Source organism: Homo sapiens, chromosome 20 (assembly GCF_000001405.40).
Source record: "Homo sapiens chromosome 20, GRCh38.p14 Primary Assembly".
Taxonomy (NCBI): Eukaryota; Metazoa; Chordata; class Mammalia; order Primates; family Hominidae; genus Homo; species Homo sapiens.
The window spans coordinates 38840338-38862752 of record NC_000020.11 but is presented as its reverse complement, the minus strand read 5'-3'; the positions used below and the strand labels follow the sequence as shown (position 1 = coordinate 38862752).

The window sequence follows — 22415 nt, the reverse complement described above, 5'->3', positions numbered from 1 at the left end:
CCTAGGGCAGGCCACAGTCAACCTTGTGGCCATGCTCTCCCTCCTGAACATTCTTCTTCATCCCATTCCTCATTTCCTCAAGGACCTGCTTATTCCTGACTCTGACTCTGGGTTTCTCGGGATGATGAGGCCCATCCATTACGTCAGGAATTTTCTGGACAAAGGGTCAGACAGTGATTTTATTTCTGAGTCTTTGGGACTCTTCACTTTACCTCTGGCTACTAGCTATATTCTCTCTACATTTGCTTTCATATCTTCCTTTTAGTTTTTAGGTGGTAGGGTTGTGTCGGGGGCATTCATGTGATATTGAGTCAAAATTCAACTTGAGCACTCGGAGCTGTGAGACCTGAGCAAGTCTCTGAACCTCTCTGCACCTCAGCTTCCTCTTCCATAAAATGGGTGTATAATAGTATCCTCCGCCTTATAGTTTCTGCCTTATATCATTTTCACGGCACCCAGCCCAGTTCAACATTCACTATGCTAACATTGCCTTTGTCTCTTCTGAACATAGCAATGAGGACTGGCTCAGGGTCACTGGTCACCTGGCATTAACTGTCCCCTCCTCATAACTTTTCTGGGTGCTTCAGGAAGACAGCCCAGCATGCCCTGCCCCTAGAGAGAGGGCAAGAAGCCAGGCATGGGAGGCAACAAGGCTGGGGGGCCCTACACAGTTGTGGGCTGGACTTGGGCCTCTCCTCCAAGGAGACTGGGCTTGGTCAGGGCTGGTGTCAGCCTCACAAGAGTCCAGTAAGAGACCAGAAGCAAAAGAAGAACTGTAGGCCAGGCACGGTGGCTCACGCCTGTAATCCCAGCACTTTGGGAGGCCGAGGTGGGTGGATCATAAGCTGAGGAGTTCGAGACGAGCCTGGCCGAGATGGTGAAACCCTGTCTCTACTAAAAATACAAAAATTAGCCGGGCACGGTGGCAGGCTCCTGTAATCCCAGCTACTCGGGAGGCCGAGGCAAGAGAATCGCTTGAACCCGGGAGGCAGAGGTTGCAGTGAGCCAAGATTGCACCACTGCACTCTAGTCTGGGCGACAGAGCAAGACTTCGTCTCAAAAAAAAAAAAAAAAAAAAAGAAGAACTGCAGCAGGCCAGGGCCCACCATCCAGATCCTCAAGTGGCAACAGCAGATTGATGCAGGCTGGCTGAAGGGTGGGGGGGAAGAAGATGTCCCATCCCAGGGTGAAAACGGACAGGTCAGGGTCCTATGGTAACCATGCTGAGATTCTTCTAGACAAAGGTTTTAAAAGTTGGATGGTGACCCTGAGGCAGAGCCTAGCCCCCCAGGTGGAGCCATCACTTTGGAGGGACACAGGAGTCTTGGCTCTCCCAGGCAACTCATAGACAAGGACATCTCATCACAAGATCAAATCTACCTCCCTCAGTGGGAAGGGGTCTCATCCTCTTCTAGGGCCTGCCCAGGTCAGAACCAGCTCAAATACCAAGTTGGGCTTTGGCCTGCAGCTGTGCAGCACTGGGACAGGTGGGGGCCAACATCCCACCAGGTAGCTCTGGTTATTTCCGTTTTACAGAGGGGACAGATGAGACTCAGAGAGGTTGAGTGACTTTCCTCAGGGTCACACAGCAGGTGTGTCATAGAACTGGGGCTGGAATCCAGGCCCAGCTGCTTCTGAACTGCATGTTTCTCCACTCATGCTGCCTGTATGTCTGTATATGGTGAAGGGCATAAAAGGGGAGCATAAGAGACTGAAGAGGACCCAGGGAATGGGGAGAATCAGGGAAGATGGGCACTACTGGAGGAGAACACGGATACTCCCAGTGGGAGGAAGAGCATGAGTAACAGTGTGCAAATTGGGACCTGCAGGGGGCCCCTGGGAGCACTGGGAAGCAAGTTAGCATGGAAGACCCTGGAAGCCACTTTAAGGAGTATGAACTATGAGCTAAGGGAAACCAGTATATAAAGCAAAATTTCTTCCACCTTACTCAAAACCTAGATACAGCCTGCCAACCAGGCTGACTAGCTCATAGTAGATGCACAGAAAATTGCTGGCTGCTGGGAGAGACTCTGCTGAGTGTTCGCTAGACCTTGCTTCCTTATCCTCCTGGGCACAAAGCTAGATGCTGTTCCAGTCTCCCTTGCAAAGGTGCGACCACAGTCTGGGTTCTGGTCAGTGGAATGCGGGCTGAACTTGCCACTTCCAGATCTGGCCTGCAGATCCCTCCCCTGCAATCTCCACCTCCAACCTGAATGAGGGAACTCTGAGGATCCAGGGCTATACCGCCCCATGTGGTGACTACGAGCCATGTGTGGCCATGACACTTGAAATATGGCTAATCTGAATCAACATATGGTGCATCAATTTCAGATTTCAAAAACATACAAAAAGGCCAGGCACAGTGGCTCACACCTGTAATCCCAGCACTTTGGGAGGCTGAGGCGGGAGGATCACCTGAGGTCAGAAGTTTGAGACCAGCCTGACCAACATGGTGAAACCCTGTCTCTACTAAAAATACAAAATTAGCCGGGCATGGTGGCGCATGCCTTTAATCCCAGCACTATGGGAGGCCAAGGCGGGAGGATCACCTGAGGTCAGAAGTTTGAGACCAGCCTGACCAACACGGTGAAACCCCATGTCTACTAAAAATACAAAATTAGCTGGGCATGGTGGCACTGTAATCACAGCTACTTGGGAGACTGAGGCAGGAGAGTCACTTGAACTCGGAAGGTGGAGGTTGCAGTGAGCCTAGATTGCATCATTGCACTCCAGCCTGGGTGACAAGGGTGAAACTCCATCTCCAAATAAATAAATAAATAAATGTAAAAGATATGAAAAAAACAGAATGTAAAATCTCTCATTAATAAGTTTTATATTGATTGCATGCTGAAATGACATTTTGGATATATTGGATTAAATAAAATATATTATTAAAATTAATTTCAACTGTTTATTTTTTTACCTTTTAAAAATGTAGCTACTAGTGCATTTAAGAATTACTAGCCAGGCACAGTGGCTCATGCCTATAACCCCAACACCTTGGGAGGCTGAGGTGGTAGGACTGCTTGAGGCCAGGAGTTCAAACCAGCCTGGGCAACATATCAAGACCCTGTCTCTACAAAAAATTTAAAAATCAGCCAGGTGTGGTGGCATGTGCCTGTAGTCCTAGCTACTTGGGAGGTTGAGGTGGGAAGACAGCTTGAGGCCAGGAGTCTGAGGCTGCAATGAGCCATGATTTTGCCACTGCACCCCAGTCTGGGCAACAGAGCAAGAACCTGGCTCTAAATAAATAAATACAGTTACATATGTGGCTTGAATTCTTTTTCTATTGGACAGCTCTGATCTAGCGGGCAGAGCCATAGGATGGAAGAAGCCTAGGCATGGGGTCATTGTGTTGAAGAGAGCTGCCCTCTTTGATGGTTGCACAGAGTTGCAACCACCACCACAATCGATTTCAGAACATTTCACACACCCTCCCCCACCCCGCCAAAAAAAAAAGGAACCCGCACTAGCAGTCACTCCCCGTTCCCCACCCACAGGCTGAAGTAAGCATGAATACCCGTGCTGGGCTGTCACATGAGCAAGAGATAAACTTCAAAATGCCGCAGCAGGTAGCCTCCCATGGCAGTTTAAAGACAGCCCCAGTGGAGACCATCAAACTCCTGCCATCAGAAGGTGGGGTCTTGGTCCCTTCCACTGAAGTCGGGGTCGGCTTGGTAGCTGTTCCAAGGTCTCAAGAAACTGGCGGCTTCCTGGATCCTGGGACATTTGCTCTTGGAGCTCTGAGACATCATCCAAGAAGTCTGACTCTGCCAAGGCCACCATCGTAGAGAGGCTACATGGGGAGGCCCTGGGACTACAGGATGACTGTTTCAGTCATCCTAGCTCAGGCTCTGGACGTTGTGGAGCAGAGACAAATTTTCCCCTCTGGGCTCCATCTGAACCCCTGACCCATGTGAGATAATTTAAGCAGCTAAATTTTAGAATAGCTTTTCTATGTGACAATAGAGAACCAGGACACCTCCCTAATAATACAGGTTCCTTCTACATCCCTACTTGCTTCAAGTTCCTGGGCACCTCTCTGGGTAGCATCAGGGATTTGGTAAACAAGCCCACTGCCCTCTCCAGAGTTTTATGGGTCTGAATCATATCCCCTTCCTCCAATCTCATTGCCAGAAGAGCATGGCAGCCACTAGGTACATTCATTTATTAATATTTACCCAATAAATCAGGTTTGGTCCTTTCCTCTGCCTCCTTTCCTTTGCTTTCCACCAGGAAGTTTTCCAAGACTAGGGCTCTCCCCTACAAAATGATATGCCCTGTGTTCTGGCAGGGTCTGAAGACCCCATAGCTCTTCCAATCAGCAGTAAAGTTTCCTTCAATGCAGCCAGGCCACGGGAATGGGCTTCGAGCTTTTGAGGCCTTTGTGTCCACCCAGGACACAAATTCCAGAGAATTCCCCCATCAGTTTCTCCAGCACCACAGAGAACCCCAGGGACATCAGAGAAGACAGCTGTCTTGCCCAGCCACAGAAAGTGCCTGCTATAGACTACACTGTGTTCCCCGCAAATTCATACATCGAAGCCCTATCCCCAGTGCGATGGAATTTGGAGATGGGACTTTTGGGAGATAGTTTTAGATGAGGTCATGATGATGGGGCCCCCATGATGGGATTAGTGTCCTTAAAAGAGACACCAGAGAGTCTCCTTTCCCCCAAACCACCACCAGGTGAGGAAACAGTGAGGAGGTGGAAAGCCAGGAAGAGAGCCCTCACGAGAAACCAGCCATTCTGGCACCTTGATCTTGGATTTCTGGCTTCCAGAACTGTAAGGAAATACGTTTCTATCGTTTACGCCACCCAGTCTATAATTTTTTTTCTGGCCGCCTCAGATAAGATAGTGTCCTAGTGCCCAACTGAAGTTCTCAAGCCATGTCCACCGAGAAAGACTGGTGGGCTCAAACCACCTGGGGGATTTTGACCACATCAGTTGCGTCCTGAGAGATACTTGGGTCAATGCAACCATCAGTCACTGAGTGCCCTGAGTCAGAAGCTGCTTATTAACCAGAGCACACCAAGACTGGAATATACTTGCCAAAAATGGAGCTTTAAGAAATCTACGGAGTTGTGTGGGCTTTAAATATATATTTTCAGCTGCAGAGACAAAGATGGTGTATTTGACATGTCCCCAAACCTACCTACCGATCTATCTATATAAAATCCAACCCCCTTCCATTAATTAGTGCTTAACCTTAAGCTCCTTTTAGTGCAAAACAATTTTACCAATCAAGAACCTCCTGGAATGGATGGCTTATCTTGGAGCCAGCAGCTTATTAAATGAGGGACCATGTCACCAGTGACAATGCGATTGCATTGCTTTCATTAAATAAGGAATACAGTTAGGCTCTTCAGGATCCAAACATAATTTTTTTAATTAAAAAATTATAAAGCCTGGAATTATACAATATTTTCCAAGTATCTAGATGATCCTTGACATGGCATCTGTCCCAAGACATGCTGGAAAGGATGGCTGTCAGACAGAAGAGAGAAGAAGAAACTTCCTAAAGCCAGGAGCCTTCTGTTTCTTTGTCTCATTCTATATAGATAATGGAAATTCACTGTGGACTATAAATGTCTCAGTGCAAATGAGGTCTGATTGCCAGTGGTGGGTGCACCCTGGGGAAGACTGATTCTAAACTGTGACTTTATCCAACAGACCTCACGGGCAATGGGTTTGGAAAAGGGCAGCCAGGTGGCTGTGCCCACCGTAGGTGGGGACCATGAGCATTTGAATTGTTTCTGAGGCTCCTTACCCAACCAGGACACCCTACCTGAGCTTTCACTCCCAAACCAGACCTTGTTAAGTGCTGTTAAATAGTGAATGGGTAGGGGTGAGCTTTTGAAGGAGAAATGCTCCATGTAGAAGTAACCATGACTGTGGCATAAGGCTTAGAGGACAGATTCTGAAGTCAGACAGTCCTGGCTACGCCTCTTATGTGGGCAAGTTGTTAGACTTTTTAAGCCTCAGTTTATCCACCTGTAAGATGGGGTTACTAACGGTTCCTATTTTATAGAGTTGTTGAGAGGATGCAATGAGTTGATGCATAGAAAGATTTTTAGCACAATGCCTGGTGCTTAAGTTATCCAATAAAAATCTGGTTGAGAGAAGGATGAAGGTGATGATGGGGAAATTGGGGGCTCAGATGTGAGTTGTGCCAGGACCTCTGGCAGGCAACCTCACCCATCCTTTGAGGGGCTGAGAGAAGAGAGAGCCCCTCCCTCAAGGAAATAAACTCACCACACCTACCTGCTACTGCTACAACCTCAGCCTCACTCCCAGGGAGCTTCACCACAACAGTTTACAACAGCCCAGATTCCAGCTAACTGGTACAGACTTAGGCTGAGTTTACTTCTCAGCAGCAAGACCTAAGGAAGTGGCAAAATGAAGGCAACTGGAACAGGTCAGGGTAGCCTCTACCCCAGGTCTGGGGCTGTCTTCTGTTGCCCCACTGCAGTAACTCCCACTTTGTGCCTGGCCTTCATCATCAAGTTACTCTCCCATTCTCCAGCTACTTTGCCTTATTGCCTGGCTACTCCCTCTTGCCCCAGCTACTTCCCATCACCTTACCTGCTTCTTCATTATCCAATTCTCTGTCACCTACTCAGATGCTCCCTGATTACCCACCTACTTTGCCACCCCCAGCTTGTTATCATATCTGGAGTTATCCTCTAATTTAACATCAGTTTGGAACCATCAAGGGAATCCTGGTTTCAGCCAGGGCAAGTCTGTCCTGGTCTCTCTCCTCCTCCTTCTCTCTCTCTCTCTCTCTCTCTCTCTCTCTCTCTCTCTATATATATATATATATATATATATATATATATATATGTAGGAAACTGTCTCTTCCTGGACCAAGCAGCTGGTATTTACAGATGCGATGTCCTGCCTATTATCTTTGAGGCCTTTAGTCTGGGCTGCAGGGAGTGGGAAGGCACAGCTTACATGGTACACACCTTGGAGCACTGCCAGGAGTCTCAGCCACAATGGGGGCACCCCACTGGGTGGGTGGCATGGCCCTGTTGCAGCTCTCCTGGCTCCAAATGTGCTGCTCAGGCAGGGGGCTCCTCCTCTTCACCAGGGCCCTGCCCTTAACCAGCCCTGCAGTTCAGGATGTTTTCTCCTGAAAGCTGGGAGAGCTTCATTATGGATCTGATTAAATCATAAGGAATCTCATCCCAAGCTTGCCAGAAAACAAGTTATTTTCGGCGTCCGTGGGCAGCAAATGGAGAAGAAAGTCATGAGCCGGAAGGAATGACTATATAGAAACCAATCCCATTCAGGGGAAGGTTGGCCACCATGCCTCCTTGACAAAATGTTAGCTGCCAAGTAACTTGGGGGAAGTTTTGCGAAGTATCCTAGGGTTTTGTTTTTTTTTTTTAATAACAAGGGAACAGATTGTATTAATTCCAAAAGTTTAGAGAAAGCAATTTAAAGAAGTTAATTAGGGTCCCTCCAAAGAGCTTTTGTTATTAAGATGGGTTTTAGACATTCAAATGGCTCAAGTCAACCAAAACAGATATTCATGGCTGTCTTTAGAGATGACACATGGCAACCAGGAAAAGCTGGGCACCATGAGGTCTATGGTCTCAGAAGTTCTTCAGGGGGCAGGTCCTTTTCTTTTAGAGACTCTGCAAGGGCTCTCTATTGCAAGCAGGCTTTAAGTCATATATTATGAGGGGTGGCCAAAGCCTTTCACTTCCCACTGGCTTCCAATGAAAATTGCTGCAAAAAAGTGCTGACTCATTCATACTAAAGTGTAAATGACTGCAATAAGAATACTTTTATGTGACTGACTGATAGAAGGCCGCCATTGAGTAAACAGAGATAGAGAAAATGGGAGTAGTTATGGCAATGTGGGGAGCAGAAGAATTAGAAAGAAAAAGGAAGAGATGTTAATCTTGCCTCTGGCTTATTGTAACTGAGGCTACTGGCAGATGATAGTAACAGCCAAACTGACCGTGTCCACTGTCTATCCTTTATTTCCATGAATCTGCACGGTGACCCACTCCCCTCCCTTCCCTGCATCATTCTCTCCACTTTACAGATGAGGAATCTGAGTCCAAAAGAGGTTAAGTTACTTGCCCAAGGTCACAAAATAGAGATTAAAATTTAGTTTTGTCTGACTCCATATTCTTAACCTTCAAGGTCCACTGCATCTCTGCAGAGCTTCCCAAGCTTTCCACTGAAGGCCTCTTTATATTCTATTGCACCTATGTCATCCACATTTTGAAAGATTTTATTACTGAGCACACTGCATTTGTGAACTAATAATTTCTTCCATCTGGCTGATGATTATTTTTCTACTCCTGTTTCTGTTACAACATCAATCCAGACTTTAATCCCAATTATTGAAGGTTCAACATAATATTATAAAATCACATAAATCACTGTTGTGTCTATGCAGCTAATAGGCTAATAAAATTAAATCAGCATATGCGCCATTGCCCAGTGCTGAATTCTGAATGCCACATGGTTTTAGAGTCAATGCCACCTAAACACTAGGCATTCTCAACCCAAAGTCCGGGGTTCCCAGAGAGAGGCAGTGTTTGGTCCACCCCATACATCTCAGACATTCCAGGGACATCAATAGCCAATTACAGTGTTCGAGCAACATGATGTGCCCAGGGTTATCACATCGAGTTGCTAGAATTCGGATCTAAAGCAAAGCAAAGTCTAGAATGTGTGGTAGATTATAACAATGGCCCCCAATGAATCATGCCTTTCAGTACCCAAGCGCTTGTATAGACTCTTCCCACACTGACTCTGAGCTTGGCCACGTGATCCGTTTTAGCCAATGAGACATGAGCAAGCGCGATGCAGGCAAAGGCTGGATAAATACTTGTGCATTGGGGCTTACTTGCTTGGAACCCTGAGACCATCATGCTGGATAAAGGACCACAGGCAGAGAGAGGCCAGGTCATCCCAGCTGAGCCCCAGACACTGGCTGACCCAGCAGCTACCTGTAGCCTCATGAGTGAGCCCAGGCAGAACCAGCAGAAGAACTGCCCAGGGAAGACCAGCAGAAAGAGTGCCCAGTCAAGCCAAAGAATCATTGAGAAATAAGAAGTTGTTGTTTCAATCCACTAAGTGTTTCAAGAGTGGCTTGTAATGCAACAAAAGGCAAGTGATTACAGTCTAGCTCTTGACACTGATTCACCTGGAGGACTGCCGTTACTACTTTTGTGGTGCCCAGGAAATTTGGGGTCCTTAAGCCAAAAAGCCTGTGTCCTGAGCTTCTCTTGAAAGACTGAAAACCCTAACACCTCCATCAAGATTTGGGTTTCATTTAGCTTTTCCAGCATAACTGGCAGAGGTACCATTTCCCTCTCCCCTACTCAGCAGGTTTCTTGTATCTTCTTCTCTTAGTCTTCACCTCTGCTCTGCATGCAACTTCCTCAGCCTAACATGGTAGACAAAGGATGAGGGCAGTGGGACCAGCTCTGTTTGTTGGTACAAATATGGGATGGACATGTTGGAAAATGTAATACTCTGAGAAGATTCTGGAACATTCCTGTTTTTCAAACCCCAGTGTTCCTCCATGTGATGCTCCAGCTTTGGCGATTGTTGAGAGAAAGGCCTGAAGTCTGTGCGTACAAAGAGCCTCATGAATTTTGTTGACAGAAATACTGACCATTTTCTCACTCGATTAGAAAGGAAACAGTGGGGCCGGGCGCAATGGGTCATGCCTGTAATTCCAGCACTTTGGGAGACCGAGGGGAATGGATCACCTGAGGTCAGGAGTTTGAGACCAGCCTGGCCAACATGGTGAAACCGTCTCTACTAAAACTACAAAAATTAGCTGGGCGTGGTGGTTGGCACCTGTAATCCCAGCTACTCAGGAGACGGAGACAGGAAAATCACTTGAACCTGGGAGGCGGAGGTTGCAGTGAGCCGAGATCATGCCACTGCACTCCAGCCTGGGCAACAGAGCAAGACTTTATCCCCCCATGCTACCCCCACCCCCCGCAAAAAAAAAAAAAAAAAAAAAGGAAACAGTGGTCCCTAGAAGCCAAGCAAGAATCAATCATGCTAGCAATGCCTCATCTATCTTCTCAATGGGTTCACTACACTGAGAAATGTCAAAGATAGAAAATGTCTAGACTCCATTGAGCACCTGACAAGCCTCTCATACACCTCCTTATTAGCACCCTGGGGAAATGCTGGTTGAGTGTCATTGTGGTTTGATTTGGGGGAGGTTCCAAGGGAGTTCCAATTGGTTAAATATCCCCAAGATCCCTAGGATGGTATCACCTTGGTGATCGACCATGGTTGACCAGCCTACCAACAGCAGTTTCTTCTCCCAAGAGCAGTCTCATACTATCCAAGTTTATGAGGCTGCTGCATAAAAACACAATGCCAGGATCACAGGAGAATAATTGCCTTGCATGTCTGAAATTCAGTTAAGCACGGTCAACTCATTCTGTGCTTGTAGGCAGACCTGGCTGGGACGCCAAATTATAATCAGAAGGTTGTACATAATCATCATGTTTAATGATTACGCCAAGATCACCAAGATGGGTTGAAGTCCCCTTTTTCCATAATCAGATTGTCCTTAGCAATGGGATGGTAATCACCAAAGTTGTTGCTCACAGTGTCCTCTCCCTTGAACGATATTTAAATAGAATTGTTCATAAATGATCTCCTAGCCCCCTTTTTCTGGCATCTGTTCTTGACAAGGCCTTCCCCCCCCGCCGTCCCCGCGAGATACAGGGCCTTGCTCTGTCACCCAGGCTGGAGTGCAGTGGCACAATTGTGACTTACTGCAGCCTTGCCCACATGGGCTTAAGCAATTCTCCGGCCTCAGCCTCCCAAGCAGCTAGGACTACAGGCCCACACCACCATGCCTGGCTTTTGTTTTTGTTTTTGTTTTTGTTTTTGGTAGAGATACAGTCTCAATATGTTGCCCAGACTGGTTTCAAACTCTTGGTCTCAAGTGATCCTCCTGTCTTGGCCTCCCAAAGTGCTGGGATTACAGGTATGAGCCACCATGCCCAGCAAGGCCTTCTTTATAATAACACCATCCATTGTTAAGCATGTTAATACTATGCTCTCTTCACAATGACTTTGCTAGACTCTGAGCTCCAAGGTGGTCTGGCCCATTTTGTTTTGTTCACCACTGAACAACCAATGCCAGCCTGATGATGTCCAGACTATGTTCCATAAATGTCTGTGCATGAATTGCTACTCTGATCCATCACATTTTGTTGTAATTTAACCCTCAGAGAGAAATCGTCTTCTAAGTTTTGTAGGAAAGATGGTTTTTTTTTTTTTAAGATGGAGTCTCACTCTGTCACCCAGGCTGGAGTGCAATGGTGCAATCTCAACTCACTGCAACCTCCACCTCCTGTATTCAAGCAATTCTCCTGCCTCAGCCTCCTGAGTAGCTGGGATTACAGGCATGCACCACCATGCCCAGCTAATTTTTGTATTTTTAGTAGAGACTAGGTTTCACCATGTTGGCCAGGCTGGTCTCGAACTCCTGACCTCTGGTGATCCACCCACCTTGGCCTCCCAAAGTGCTGGGATTACAGGCGTGAGCCACTATGCCCAGCCAGCTTTTTTTTTTTTTAATTGTTTTTTAATTGTCGAGACTCCTGCTACTGTTCCCACATACCAACTGCAAATAACAATGTAGTTAAGTTCATTTCAGTTGCACAACTATTCCCAGTAGTTGACTTTGATACATTAATCTGGAAAAGGTCTCCGGGGGTGTGGCCCCAGGCAGCATCTCTGCCCATGACCTATTCAACAATTTTTTTTTTTTTTTTGAGATGGAGTCTTGTTCTATTGCCCAGGCTGGAGTGCAGTGGCATGATCTCGGCTCACTGCAACCTCCACCTCCCGTGTTCAAGCAATTCTTTTGCCTCAGCCTCCCGAGTACCTGGGACTACAGGTGCCCACCACCACACCTGGTTATTTTTTGTATTTTTTAGTAGAGACAGGGTTTCACCATGTTGGCCAGGCTGGTCTCGAACTCCTGACCTCAGGTGATCTGCCCACCTCGGCCTCCCAAAGTGCTGCGATTAACAGGCGTGAGCACCACGCTGGGCCCTATTCAACATTTTTATCAGGGATTTGGATAATGGCCTATGACTGTGTTTCTAAGTCAGCAGCCTCTAGCTTAGCCACAGTTGACTACATTATTTCTAACTAAATACAATAAAAAATTTAGCAGCTATTGTATTGGACAGCACATTTCCATCATCAGAAAAAAATTCTATTGCACAATTCTGGTCTAGAAGGCAAATCCTTATTGCAATTATGAATGATATGGAGTAGAAACTGCCGGTGAATATTTCATTTGAGGTGAATATATTTAATTATGGCCTGACAAGCATCCATTCTCCCTCCTTCTGGAAATATCATCCCAATATTTTTGGGGGAGTGGGTAGGTACAACATAATACCAAGTGTCAGTCCATGTGTTTGGGAGAAGCAGACTCCAGGAGTGGGCATATGGCTCCAACCAGACCAATCATAGCATTGCTTCCCTTATCTAGCCATTACAATTGACTCAGGAATCGACCTCATAGCCAATGAGGTTCCATTCTGGGACTTGTTGAGCCTGGGACACTTCTGGGAAAATAAATTATTCTTACTGAGGTTGCCAAAAGGATTTAGGATATATATTTCAAGCTGCTGATAGTCGTCTTCTCAGAGACATTTCTTGGTAGTCTCATGCATCCACAAGTGCCTGAAGCTGTGCTATCTTTGAACTCTCCACTACGTGAACACTGTTTTGTTAACCTTGTTAGCTTGAGTTTTTGTCACTGGTGACACAAAAGTCCTAACGTATCATTCAAGAATCCAAAACTAGCTGAACAGGTAGATAATTGGGCTCAAAACTCAACAAGATAAATGCAGCGCTTGACCTCAATGTTAAAAATCAACCGTGTGTCCAGGAAGACTTTTGGGGTGCTGGTAATGTTCTGTTTCATGATCTGAGTGCTGATTAGTTACATGGGTATGCTCAGCACATGAAAATACAACTAGTTTTACCCTTTTCTGTCTGATGATTATGCTTCAACAAACAGTTTTTTGTTTTTTTTTTGTTGTTGTTGTTGTTGTTGTTTTTAAATCAGGATGGGGAAAATGTAGCTTCATTAATGGGAAGCTGACTTGGGGGTTTTGTTTTCTTATAAATTCAATATGAGTCAACAGCAGCTACCCAAAAAGCTAATGGAAACTTAAGTCATACTAACAGGCAAAAGCAACCAGAACGAGGAAAGTGACAGTTCCATTCACTCCAGAGTGAGCCAGATCAGACTTTGGGAAGAACGTAGACAGAGTAGAGCATGGTCACAAATCTCAAAGCCACATGTCATAAAAGAATATGAAAAGGAACGGAAGTAGTTAGCCTGGAGAGAAGGGGAGAGAGGATAGAATCTGGATAGGACTCAGATCTCCAGGCTTACTGAAACACTGGAATGATCAGACAACCTTATCATCTGCAAATAATGTTCTTTTCTAAATAGAAACCCCCAAGATAACTCACTGAAAAACCAAGACTAAGGTGAATTCAGTAAATTCGCTTGGTATAACATTAATGTACAAAACCCAAAGCCCTCCTTTTAAGACATTAAACAGGACTTATACGAAAACAGTAACAACAACAAAAACAAACAAACAAACAAAAAACCCTACAGCTTTCCTAAAAGACAAGAAAGAATACATGCTTAACAGAGACATGTGCTATTTGCCCGCTTAGAAAAACTCAGTATGATAAACATATCACTTTGGTCCAAATTAATTAATTATTTTAATTTTTTAAAAACTTTTAAGTTCAGGGGTACAAGTGCAGGTGTGTTACATAGGTCAACTTGTGTCATGGGAGTTTGCTGTACAGATTATTTCATCCCCCAGGTATTAAGCCTAGTACCCATTAGTTATTTTTCCTGATCTCCTCCCTCCTCCCACAATCCACCCTCCAATAGGGACCCAGTGTGTGTTGTTCCCCTCTATGTGTCCATGTGTTTTCAGCATTTAGCTCCCACTTGTAAGTGAGAACATGCTGTATTTGGTTTTCTGTCCTTGTGTTAGTTTGCTAAGGACAATGGCCTCCAGCTCCATCCATGTCCCTGCAAAGCTTTGGAGAAATCTATTTTTGAGGTTTGGAGGGAAAACTTGACCAAACAGTCCTAAATATTATGTGAACAGCTGAAAATAACCAGGAACATTTTGAAAAAAAAGAGTAATCTGAGGAAAAACTTGTTTTATCACATATTAAGCCACAATATAAACCTACAAGGATGAAAGCAGTATGTAACTGGCACCAAAATAGGTTGCTGGAACAGAATAGACAGGTTGGAGAGTTACCCTTCATTACAGATGAGGCTCTAGAGTACAAGGGTGGCCTCACAAACTTGTAGGGAAGGAAGGGATGTTGGGACAATTGCTGATGCTTTGGAAACAAAATATAGACAGATTTTCATTTAGTACTCTATACTAAAATGAAGTCCAGAAATACTACCTATTTATTTAAATAAGGCCAAAAAACCCTAGAAGAAAACATAGGTTTAATATACATCACTAGATGAGGAAACATTTTAGTGCAAGAGCCCATAAAGTATTTCTATAAAGGGCCAGAAAGTAAATATTTTAACCTTTGCAGGCTACATGGTCGCTGTTACAACTCAACTCTGCCATTGTAATGTGAAAGCAGCCATAGATAATATGTAAATGAATGGGCATGGCTGTGTTCCAATAAAACTTTATTTACAAAAACAGACAGTGGGAAGATTTGGACTTCAGGCCACAGTTTTCTGGTCCCTGCTTTAAAGGGATAAAAAAAATAAAATGATTTTAAAAAAAGAAATCAAGTATCATTAGGTTTGACAATATAAAAAATAAGAACTCCAAAGCATAAAAAATTACTATAAACAAAACATTAAAGCAAACACATACACGCACTGCAGAAAATATATGAACCATACATGACAACAAAGAGTTGGCATCTCTCCCTCCAATGTCATTCTCCCCCTTTCTCACCTTCTCCCTGTCTCCTCTCACACACACAAACATAAACGTACACAATCATTGAAACCAATAAGAAGCACACTAGTAAAAAAAATGAACAAATAGTCCGGGTGCAGTGGCTCATGCATGTAATCCCAGCACTTTGGGAGGCTGAGGCAGGCAGATCACCTGAGGTCAGGAGTTTGAGACCAGCCTGGCCAACATGGTGAAACCCCATCTCTACTAAAAATACAAAAATTACCCGGGTGTGGTGGTGGGTACCTGTAATCTTAGCTACTCGGGAGGCTGAGACAGGAGAATTGCTTGAATCCAGGAGGCGGAGGTTGCAGTGAGCCAAGATTGTGCCACTGCACTCCAGCCTGGGGACAGAGTGAGACTCCGTCTCAAAACAACAACAACAAAAAAACAAACTAGACAACTCAAAGAAGGAGAGAGATGACCAGTAAGCTTATGAATAGGTATTCAACCTTAACTGTCTCGATTTTATGCAAATTAAGACAACAGGACTATTTTCCATATATCAAATATATCAGCAAAGGTGTGTTTTCAATGTCATCATCCAGCATTGATGTGGCAGGTAGTGATGAGGTGGGGAGATAGCAGGGATGGATACACACAGCTGATACAACCTCTCTGGTAGTCAAATGAGTGGTTTATATCGAGACCTCAAAGCCAATGAACATCTAGGAATCTACCTAGTAAATAATCAAAGCTATGGCCAAATACTTTTTATTTTTATTTTATTTATTTAGTTTTTTGGAGACAGGGTCTCACTCTGTTACCTGGGCTGGAGTGCAGTGGCACAATCACAGCTTACAACCTTGACCTCCTGGGCTCAAAAGTTCCTCCCACCTCCACCCCGCAAGTTGCTAAGACCACAGGTACACGTCACCACACCTGGATAATTTTTTAAATTTCGTGTAGATATGGGGTCTCACTATGTTGCCTAGGCTGGTCTTGGACTCCTGGGCTCAAGTGATCTTCCCGCCTTGGCCTCTCAAAGTGCTAGGATTTACAGGCATGAGCCACAGCGCCCGGCCAACCAAATACTTTTATACATTGATATTCACCACGGCATAATTTATAGTAGCAAAAATTGGGAATGGCCTCAAAATGCAATAATAAGGGAGTAGCTGCATAAATTATGGAACATCCATGATAGGATATATGAGGTCATCATTAGAAATCTCTTTTTCCAAAGAGTATATAAAGATAAGACAAAATATTCAACCCCTCAACAGCATTTGACTGAGCTGACAGTCCTTTCTTCCAGGCTTCTGAGATGCCACACTATTCCTGGTTTTCTTTCTACCTTCTGAGTAGATGATTCTGGTCTCCTTTGTTCTCTTCTTCTTGGGTCAACATGCAGCTATTGAGGTGTCCCAGAGCTTTCTCTAGTGATCCCTTCTCTGCGATCCCTTCTCTGCTCCAACTACCCTTGCTTCCTAGATGACCTCCTACAGTCCTGCATTTTTGAAAATACTGCACTTGTATCATGCTGATGACTTCCCAAGTATTATAACCATCCCTGATATCTCCCCTGAGCTCCAGACTCACATATTCATCTGCCTCTTCAAGATCTCCATGTGGATGTTAAAAGGACATGTCAACTTGGACAGTCCTATAGAACTCAATTCTCTCCAAATCCCCTCCTCCCTCCTACTCCGATCTTCCCAGTCTCAAAATGTGGCACTGTCATCCACCTAGATGTTCAAGCCAAAAACCCAAAAGCCATCACTGAGTCCCTCCTCTGTCACTTGACACAGAAGCCCTGTGGGCTCCACCTCCTGATTTCTGCATCGCCCAGTGACCACCATAGGCTCTCACCTACGCTACTGTGAGGGCTTCTCATGAGCCTCCCTGCTCCCCTCACAGCCCTGCGAAAATAGATTGCTACAGTCAATTCTGCACTCAGCAACCAGGAAAATCCATCCCGAATTCAAAATCTGTATCTCATCACATGATTCCCCTTTCAAAACCACCAGTGGCTTTTCATCGAAATCAAATGTACAGTTCCTACTCTAGTCTTCTACGGTCAGTATGCTCTCCCTCAACCACCTCCTCCCCCTACTCTTCCACCTCCCATCTTTCTCCTGTCTTCAAACACGCCAACCCTGTTCCCATCACACATCCTTTGTACATTTCCTCCAGACTCCTCCACATTCAGGTCTGAGCCCAAATCACCTCCTCAGACAGGCTCTCCCTGATACCACAGCTCTAGCAGATGACTAATTTTGCTGAATTCACAAGTGAATGTTAGGGTTAAAGTTGTTTTTACTTTTACATTTTTATTTATTTGTTTATTTATTTTTTAGGGACAGAGTCTTCCTCTGTCACTTAGGCTGGAGTATAGTGGCACCATCACAGCTCATTGCAGTCTTGAACTCCTGAGCTCAAGCCATCCTCCCACCTCAGCCTCCCAATGCTCTAGGATTACAGGCATGAGCCACCACATTTGGCCCTAAAAGTTGTTTTTTAAATGTACACAAACTCACTCCTTGTTTGTGTGTAGATCCGAAGGGCTGAAGACAGCTGGGCTCACTCTCTGCCCCATCTGTCCCTCTAGATCTTCCCCTCTCCGTGCCTGAGGAAGCCAGTTGACTTGCACTACATCAAAGGCTTCCTTGCATTCTGCTTTCTGGTTAGGTTTGTCACCGAAAGCACCAGAATGGCAGGGGCATGGAGTGGCAGCCACTGCTCCTTTAGGTAGCCCTCTCCATACGGTGCCTTCCTTAGGTTCCAGTAGGTTCATTTCCTTGTCTCCTTCAGGCCCAGGGGGTGGGGTGGGGTGGGTAAGATCTCCCAACTTTTGCTATCCCAGGGTATTGTCCCATTCCTTGTTGACCCCCATAAACCAGTGGTTCTCAAAGTGGTCTCTAGACTCTTTCAGGGTATTAAAACATCAAAATAATTTTCACAGTAACACTAAGAAATTACTTGCATTTTCCACTGTGTTGACATTTGCACTGATGGTGTAAAAGCAATGGTGGGTAAAACTACTGTTGTTTTAACAGAATTAACTTAGTGGCACCAAGCTGTACTAGCAATCACCATCTTCATTGTTTTGTATGTGCAATCAAAAGAAAAAAATCAATACCAGTTTCCCTTAAAAATGTCCTTGATAAAGCAATAAAATGTATTAATTTTATGAAACCTTAATCCTTGAGTACATGTCCTTTTAATATTCCATGTGACAAAATGGGAAGTTCAAAAAAAGAATAATCATTGTCTCCAACTGCATTACTTGAGCCATTTTTTAAGCTGTGTGCTAAGCTAGTCTCTTCTCTCATGGAGCACTAGTTTTACTTAAAGGATGTCTAGCAAACAATGGTTATTCAGACTTGAGTATTTAACAGGCAGTGTTTTTTTTCCTAAAAAGGGCAAATGGATCTTCTCACAACTGACAGCATTTGTTACCAATGATAGAATTTGAACTTTTAAGCAAAAATCCAAATTTTAGAAAACTTTTATAGCTACCACGAACTTACAGTTTCCCAGTACCTGAATAATTGTATGGCAAGATTGTTATTGAAACTATACATTTTCTTATATTGTATAAAGCAATGTGTCAACATTTGGAAGATCTGTGTAACTCAGTGAACCAATATTTTCTAACAGATCCAATATATTACATTAAAAAAAAGTACACATGGGTAAAAGAACCATTCAAAATGCCAGACAGACCAATGGATTTTGATGTAAATTGATATGGCTTCAGATTCAGCACTGCAACTAACCTTTAAGAAACTACTACTTGTTGAGTTTAGATGTAGTATCAAAGAATATCCACAATATCTGAAAAAGCAATTAAAATATTTCCTCCCTTTTCCAACTACATAAGATTTTCTTTATTTACTTCAACCAAAATAACATATCACAACAGATTGAAGGCAGAAGCAGATAAGATACTCCAACTGTCTTCCATTAAGCCAGATCTTAAAAAGATTTGCAAAAATATAAAACAAGGCTACTCTCCTCATTGCTTTTTTTTTTGTTTTGAAAAATATAATTTTTCATAAAAATATTTATGTTAACATGTGGTGGTTTTAAAACATGTCCACAAATTCTCTCTTCAAAAGATGAAGCTTAATTCCCCACCCCTTGAGTGTGGGCTGGACCTAGTGAGTCATTTCTCATGAATAGAAGATGGTAGAAGTGATGGTACATGATTTCCAACACAAGGTCATAAAGGCATTGCGGATTCCTCTATCTCTTGGATCACTCACTCTGAAAAAAGCCACCTGCCATGCTGAGAGAACACTCGAGCTGTCCTATAGAGAGGGCCACATGGCAGGGAACTGAGGCCTCCTGCCAAGAGCCATGCCAGTGAGCCATCTTGGAAGTGGATTCTCCAGCCCCAGGTAAATCCTGAAGTGACTGCAACCTTATGAGATATCCTGAACGAGAACCACCCAGCTGAGCTGCTCTGGATCCCTGAGCCACAGAAATTGTGTGAGGCAGTATATGTTTATTGTTTTAAGCTGCTAAATTTTGAGTTCATCTGCTACGCAGAAGCAGATAGCCAACAGATAATGTGTTTATCATTCTGACTTAATGAATGAATAAATATTTAATGCCTCCGTTTAAATTTCGAATACAGTAAATATGGGTAGATAGAACCCAGCTAAACCAAAGCTTTTAGGAGTTCTCAGGTTTTAAGAATATAAAGGGCCTCTGAGACCAAAAAGTTTGAGGACCACTTCCCTAAACCCTTTACAAACTGCCCCTTTATCAAACTTTCCACAAATCACCCCATATAAAATCACCATTTGTTTCCTCCCAGGACGCTGCCTGACACAACAATACCAAAATATTATCAATGGTTGTTGCTGTTCAGGGGGAATATGGGTGATTTTATCTTCTTCTTAATGCTTCTTTTTTTCTGTACTTCTAAAAGTTTCTGTAACAATAACAGGGTTTTTTTTTTTTTAATAATTAGAAGAAAAGAAACTTCCCTTTTTAAAAGGACCAAAAGTGAAAGTCTGAGCTAGTTCCTGTAGATGAGCTGCTGGTTTAAGATGGTGGTGGCAAGGCCCAGGTGTCCAGCACTGTGCCTGGGGGTGGGGGAGGGGGTTGCAGGTGGCAGGGATGACTGAGCACCCCACCCACCTGACCCCAGTCAGAACAGCTCCTTCCTTTGTTTTACATATTGGGTTTCTGCATAATATCTCATTTAAAGAAAAGTTTCCACTGCTTAAAAAAGAGTTTGAAAACTTTTACAGTGAGAAAAATCATTAAATTTAATAAGAGTTAAATTTAGAGTACAGAAGAATCACTCAAACATTTTTTGAATGAGAATTTCCATAAAGAAAACCCTACACATTCTGAGAGAAAAACAGAAGTCTCTAACAACTTAACATACATTCAATGGTTTCAAGGGAGGCTGGGCTATTGTGGCCCTAGAAAGAAGTTATATCTGGGGCTAAAGAGTTTATCTTGGGGGCCCCAAATCAAAGGGCCCAAGATGCCAGCAGAAACACCAGGATGCCTAAGGCCAAAACAAACACAGATCAGTACAGCAACTGAGGGTTCTCTAGTTTTCTAGTGAAAACAAAAGCAGGAAGTACAGGACTGCCTGGTGGTTAAATACATGGGCTTCGGAGAAACTGATCTGGGTTTGAATCCTGGGATTGAGTCTGACACTTAAAACCTGTGAGACCTTGGCAGGTGACTTAGTCTCTCTGAGCTTCAAATTTCTCATCTGTAAAATGGGGGATGAGAATTCACACAGTGAAGCCATTTTCCAAGACAGTACAGCAGTTTCTTAAAAAGTTAAACATAATTTACCATATGACCCAACAATTCTATTCCTAGGTAATGACCCAAGAGAAATGAAAACATATATCCACACAAAGACTTGTACCCAAATTTGCCTTCCAGCATTCTTCATCCTACCCCAAAATAGAAATAATCCAAACGTTCACCTACTGGTGAATGGATAAACAAAATGCGGAATATCTATACAATGGAATACTACAGGGCAATGAAAAGGAATGAAGCCCTGATATATGATGTCACACCAAGGATGAACCTTGAAAGCAGTATTCTGAATGAAAGAAGCCAATCACAAAGATCATATACTGTATGATTCCATGTAAATAATATGTCCAGAAAAGGCAAATCTATACAGACAGAAAGTAGATTATAGTTGCCTGGGTCTGGGAACCAGGAGTCACTGCAAATGGGCATGAGGCTTCTTTTTGGGATGATGAAAAGGCTTTCTGTTTGTTTTTGAGATGGGGTCTTGCTCTGTCACCCAGGCTAGAGTGCAGTGGTTCAATCATGGCTCACTGCAGATTTAACCTCCCGGATTCAAGCGATCCTCCTGCCTAAGCCTTCCAAGTAGCTGGGACCACAGGCAAGTGCCACCACGGCTGGCTTTTTTTTTTTTTTTTTTTTTTTTTTTTCAGTACAGACAGGCTCTCCAGGCTGGTCTAGAACTCCTGGGCTTAAGCGATCCTCTACCTTGGCCTCCCAAAGTGCTGGGATAACAAGTGTTAGCCACACCACTCAGCGATGGCAATGTTTTACAACTGGATTGTGGCTGATGGATGCACAATTCTGTAAATTTACTGAAAATCATTGAATAGTACACTTAAAGTGGGCAAATTTTATAATATGTAAACTGAACCCCAAGCTATTTTTTAAAAATGGGGTTTGACTCTCTAACCTCAGAGAGTTGCTGTGAAGATTAACCGAGATAACATATGTAAGGCAAGCTGCCTGGTACAAAGCACCTGATAAATAATAACAATGATGACAATCAGAATATGCTGTAATAATAGATTACGTAAATGTAGAATAGTGTAGAATAACAACAATTTATACCACTTACGTAGCTCTGACCATACCACTTCAACATTTATCAACTTAATTTAACCCCCCAACAACGTTATGAAGCGGGTACATCATCATCCTCATTTTTACCGATGGGGAGATGGAGGCACTGAGAAGTAAAGTAACTTTCCCAAGGATGCACAGCTAGTAAACGGTAGAGCTAGGATTTGAATCCTGGAGGACAAACTGCAGGGTCTGTGCTCCTAGCCATGACACTACACTGTCTCTCAGTAAACATCAGCTACGTATTGAGTTGCTACTTTAACCAGGGCCGGGAAAAGGCTCACAGATGGCTCCCCAGAGATCACGCTGGACTCAAAGCTGAGGGTTACAGGAGTTAGTCACAGGAAGAGTGTCCCAGACAGAGGGAATTGCATATACAAAGGTGTGGAGGTAAGATAACGCAGGGAATATGGGAGGATCTTGGTGGAGCTGGCGTCGCCTGGGGCAGAGGGTGATGGCAGTGAGAGCAGTGAGCATGGGGCTCAGGCAGGTCCAAGGGCAAGGACACTAGTCTAAAGGCAATATGGGACCAGAGGATGAAACTCAGTGAGTTCCTAGCCTGCCTTTCTCTGGAAACAACTCA

The 22415-nt window shown here is 44.1% G+C and overlaps 1 protein-coding gene across 2 annotated transcripts in view, besides 5 other annotated features; it reads right to left on the bottom strand.

The window, feature by feature from the left end:
- Positions 1-22415, bottom strand: part of PPP1R16B (protein phosphatase 1 regulatory subunit 16B) — a 117328-nt gene that overhangs the window by 60272 nt on the left and 34641 nt on the right. The gene's annotated exons all lie outside the window — the stretch shown is intronic.
- Positions 1369-1458: an enhancer, noted in NCBI's record as "active region_17868". NCBI's record gives its function as "activates an Ori minimal core promoter by ATAC-STARR-seq in GM12878 lymphoblastoid cells {active_cell/tissue: GM12878}" and the evidence as "EXISTENCE:reporter gene assay evidence [ECO:0000049][PMID:35858748]".
- Positions 2039-2288: an enhancer, noted in NCBI's record as "active region_17867". NCBI's record gives its function as "activates an Ori minimal core promoter by ATAC-STARR-seq in GM12878 lymphoblastoid cells {active_cell/tissue: GM12878}" and the evidence as "EXISTENCE:reporter gene assay evidence [ECO:0000049][PMID:35858748]".
- Positions 3165-3304: an enhancer, noted in NCBI's record as "active region_17866". NCBI's record gives its function as "activates an Ori minimal core promoter by ATAC-STARR-seq in GM12878 lymphoblastoid cells {active_cell/tissue: GM12878}" and the evidence as "EXISTENCE:reporter gene assay evidence [ECO:0000049][PMID:35858748]".
- Positions 3393-3687: an enhancer, noted in NCBI's record as "tiled region #4490; K562 Activating DNase matched - State 5:Enh". NCBI's record gives its function as "activates a minimal TATA promoter and a strong SV40 promoter by Sharpr-MPRA in K562 cells {active_cell/tissue: K562}" and the evidence as "EXISTENCE:reporter gene assay evidence [ECO:0000049][PMID:27701403]".
- Positions 19881-19990: an enhancer, noted in NCBI's record as "active region_17865". NCBI's record gives its function as "activates an Ori minimal core promoter by ATAC-STARR-seq in GM12878 lymphoblastoid cells {active_cell/tissue: GM12878}" and the evidence as "EXISTENCE:reporter gene assay evidence [ECO:0000049][PMID:35858748]".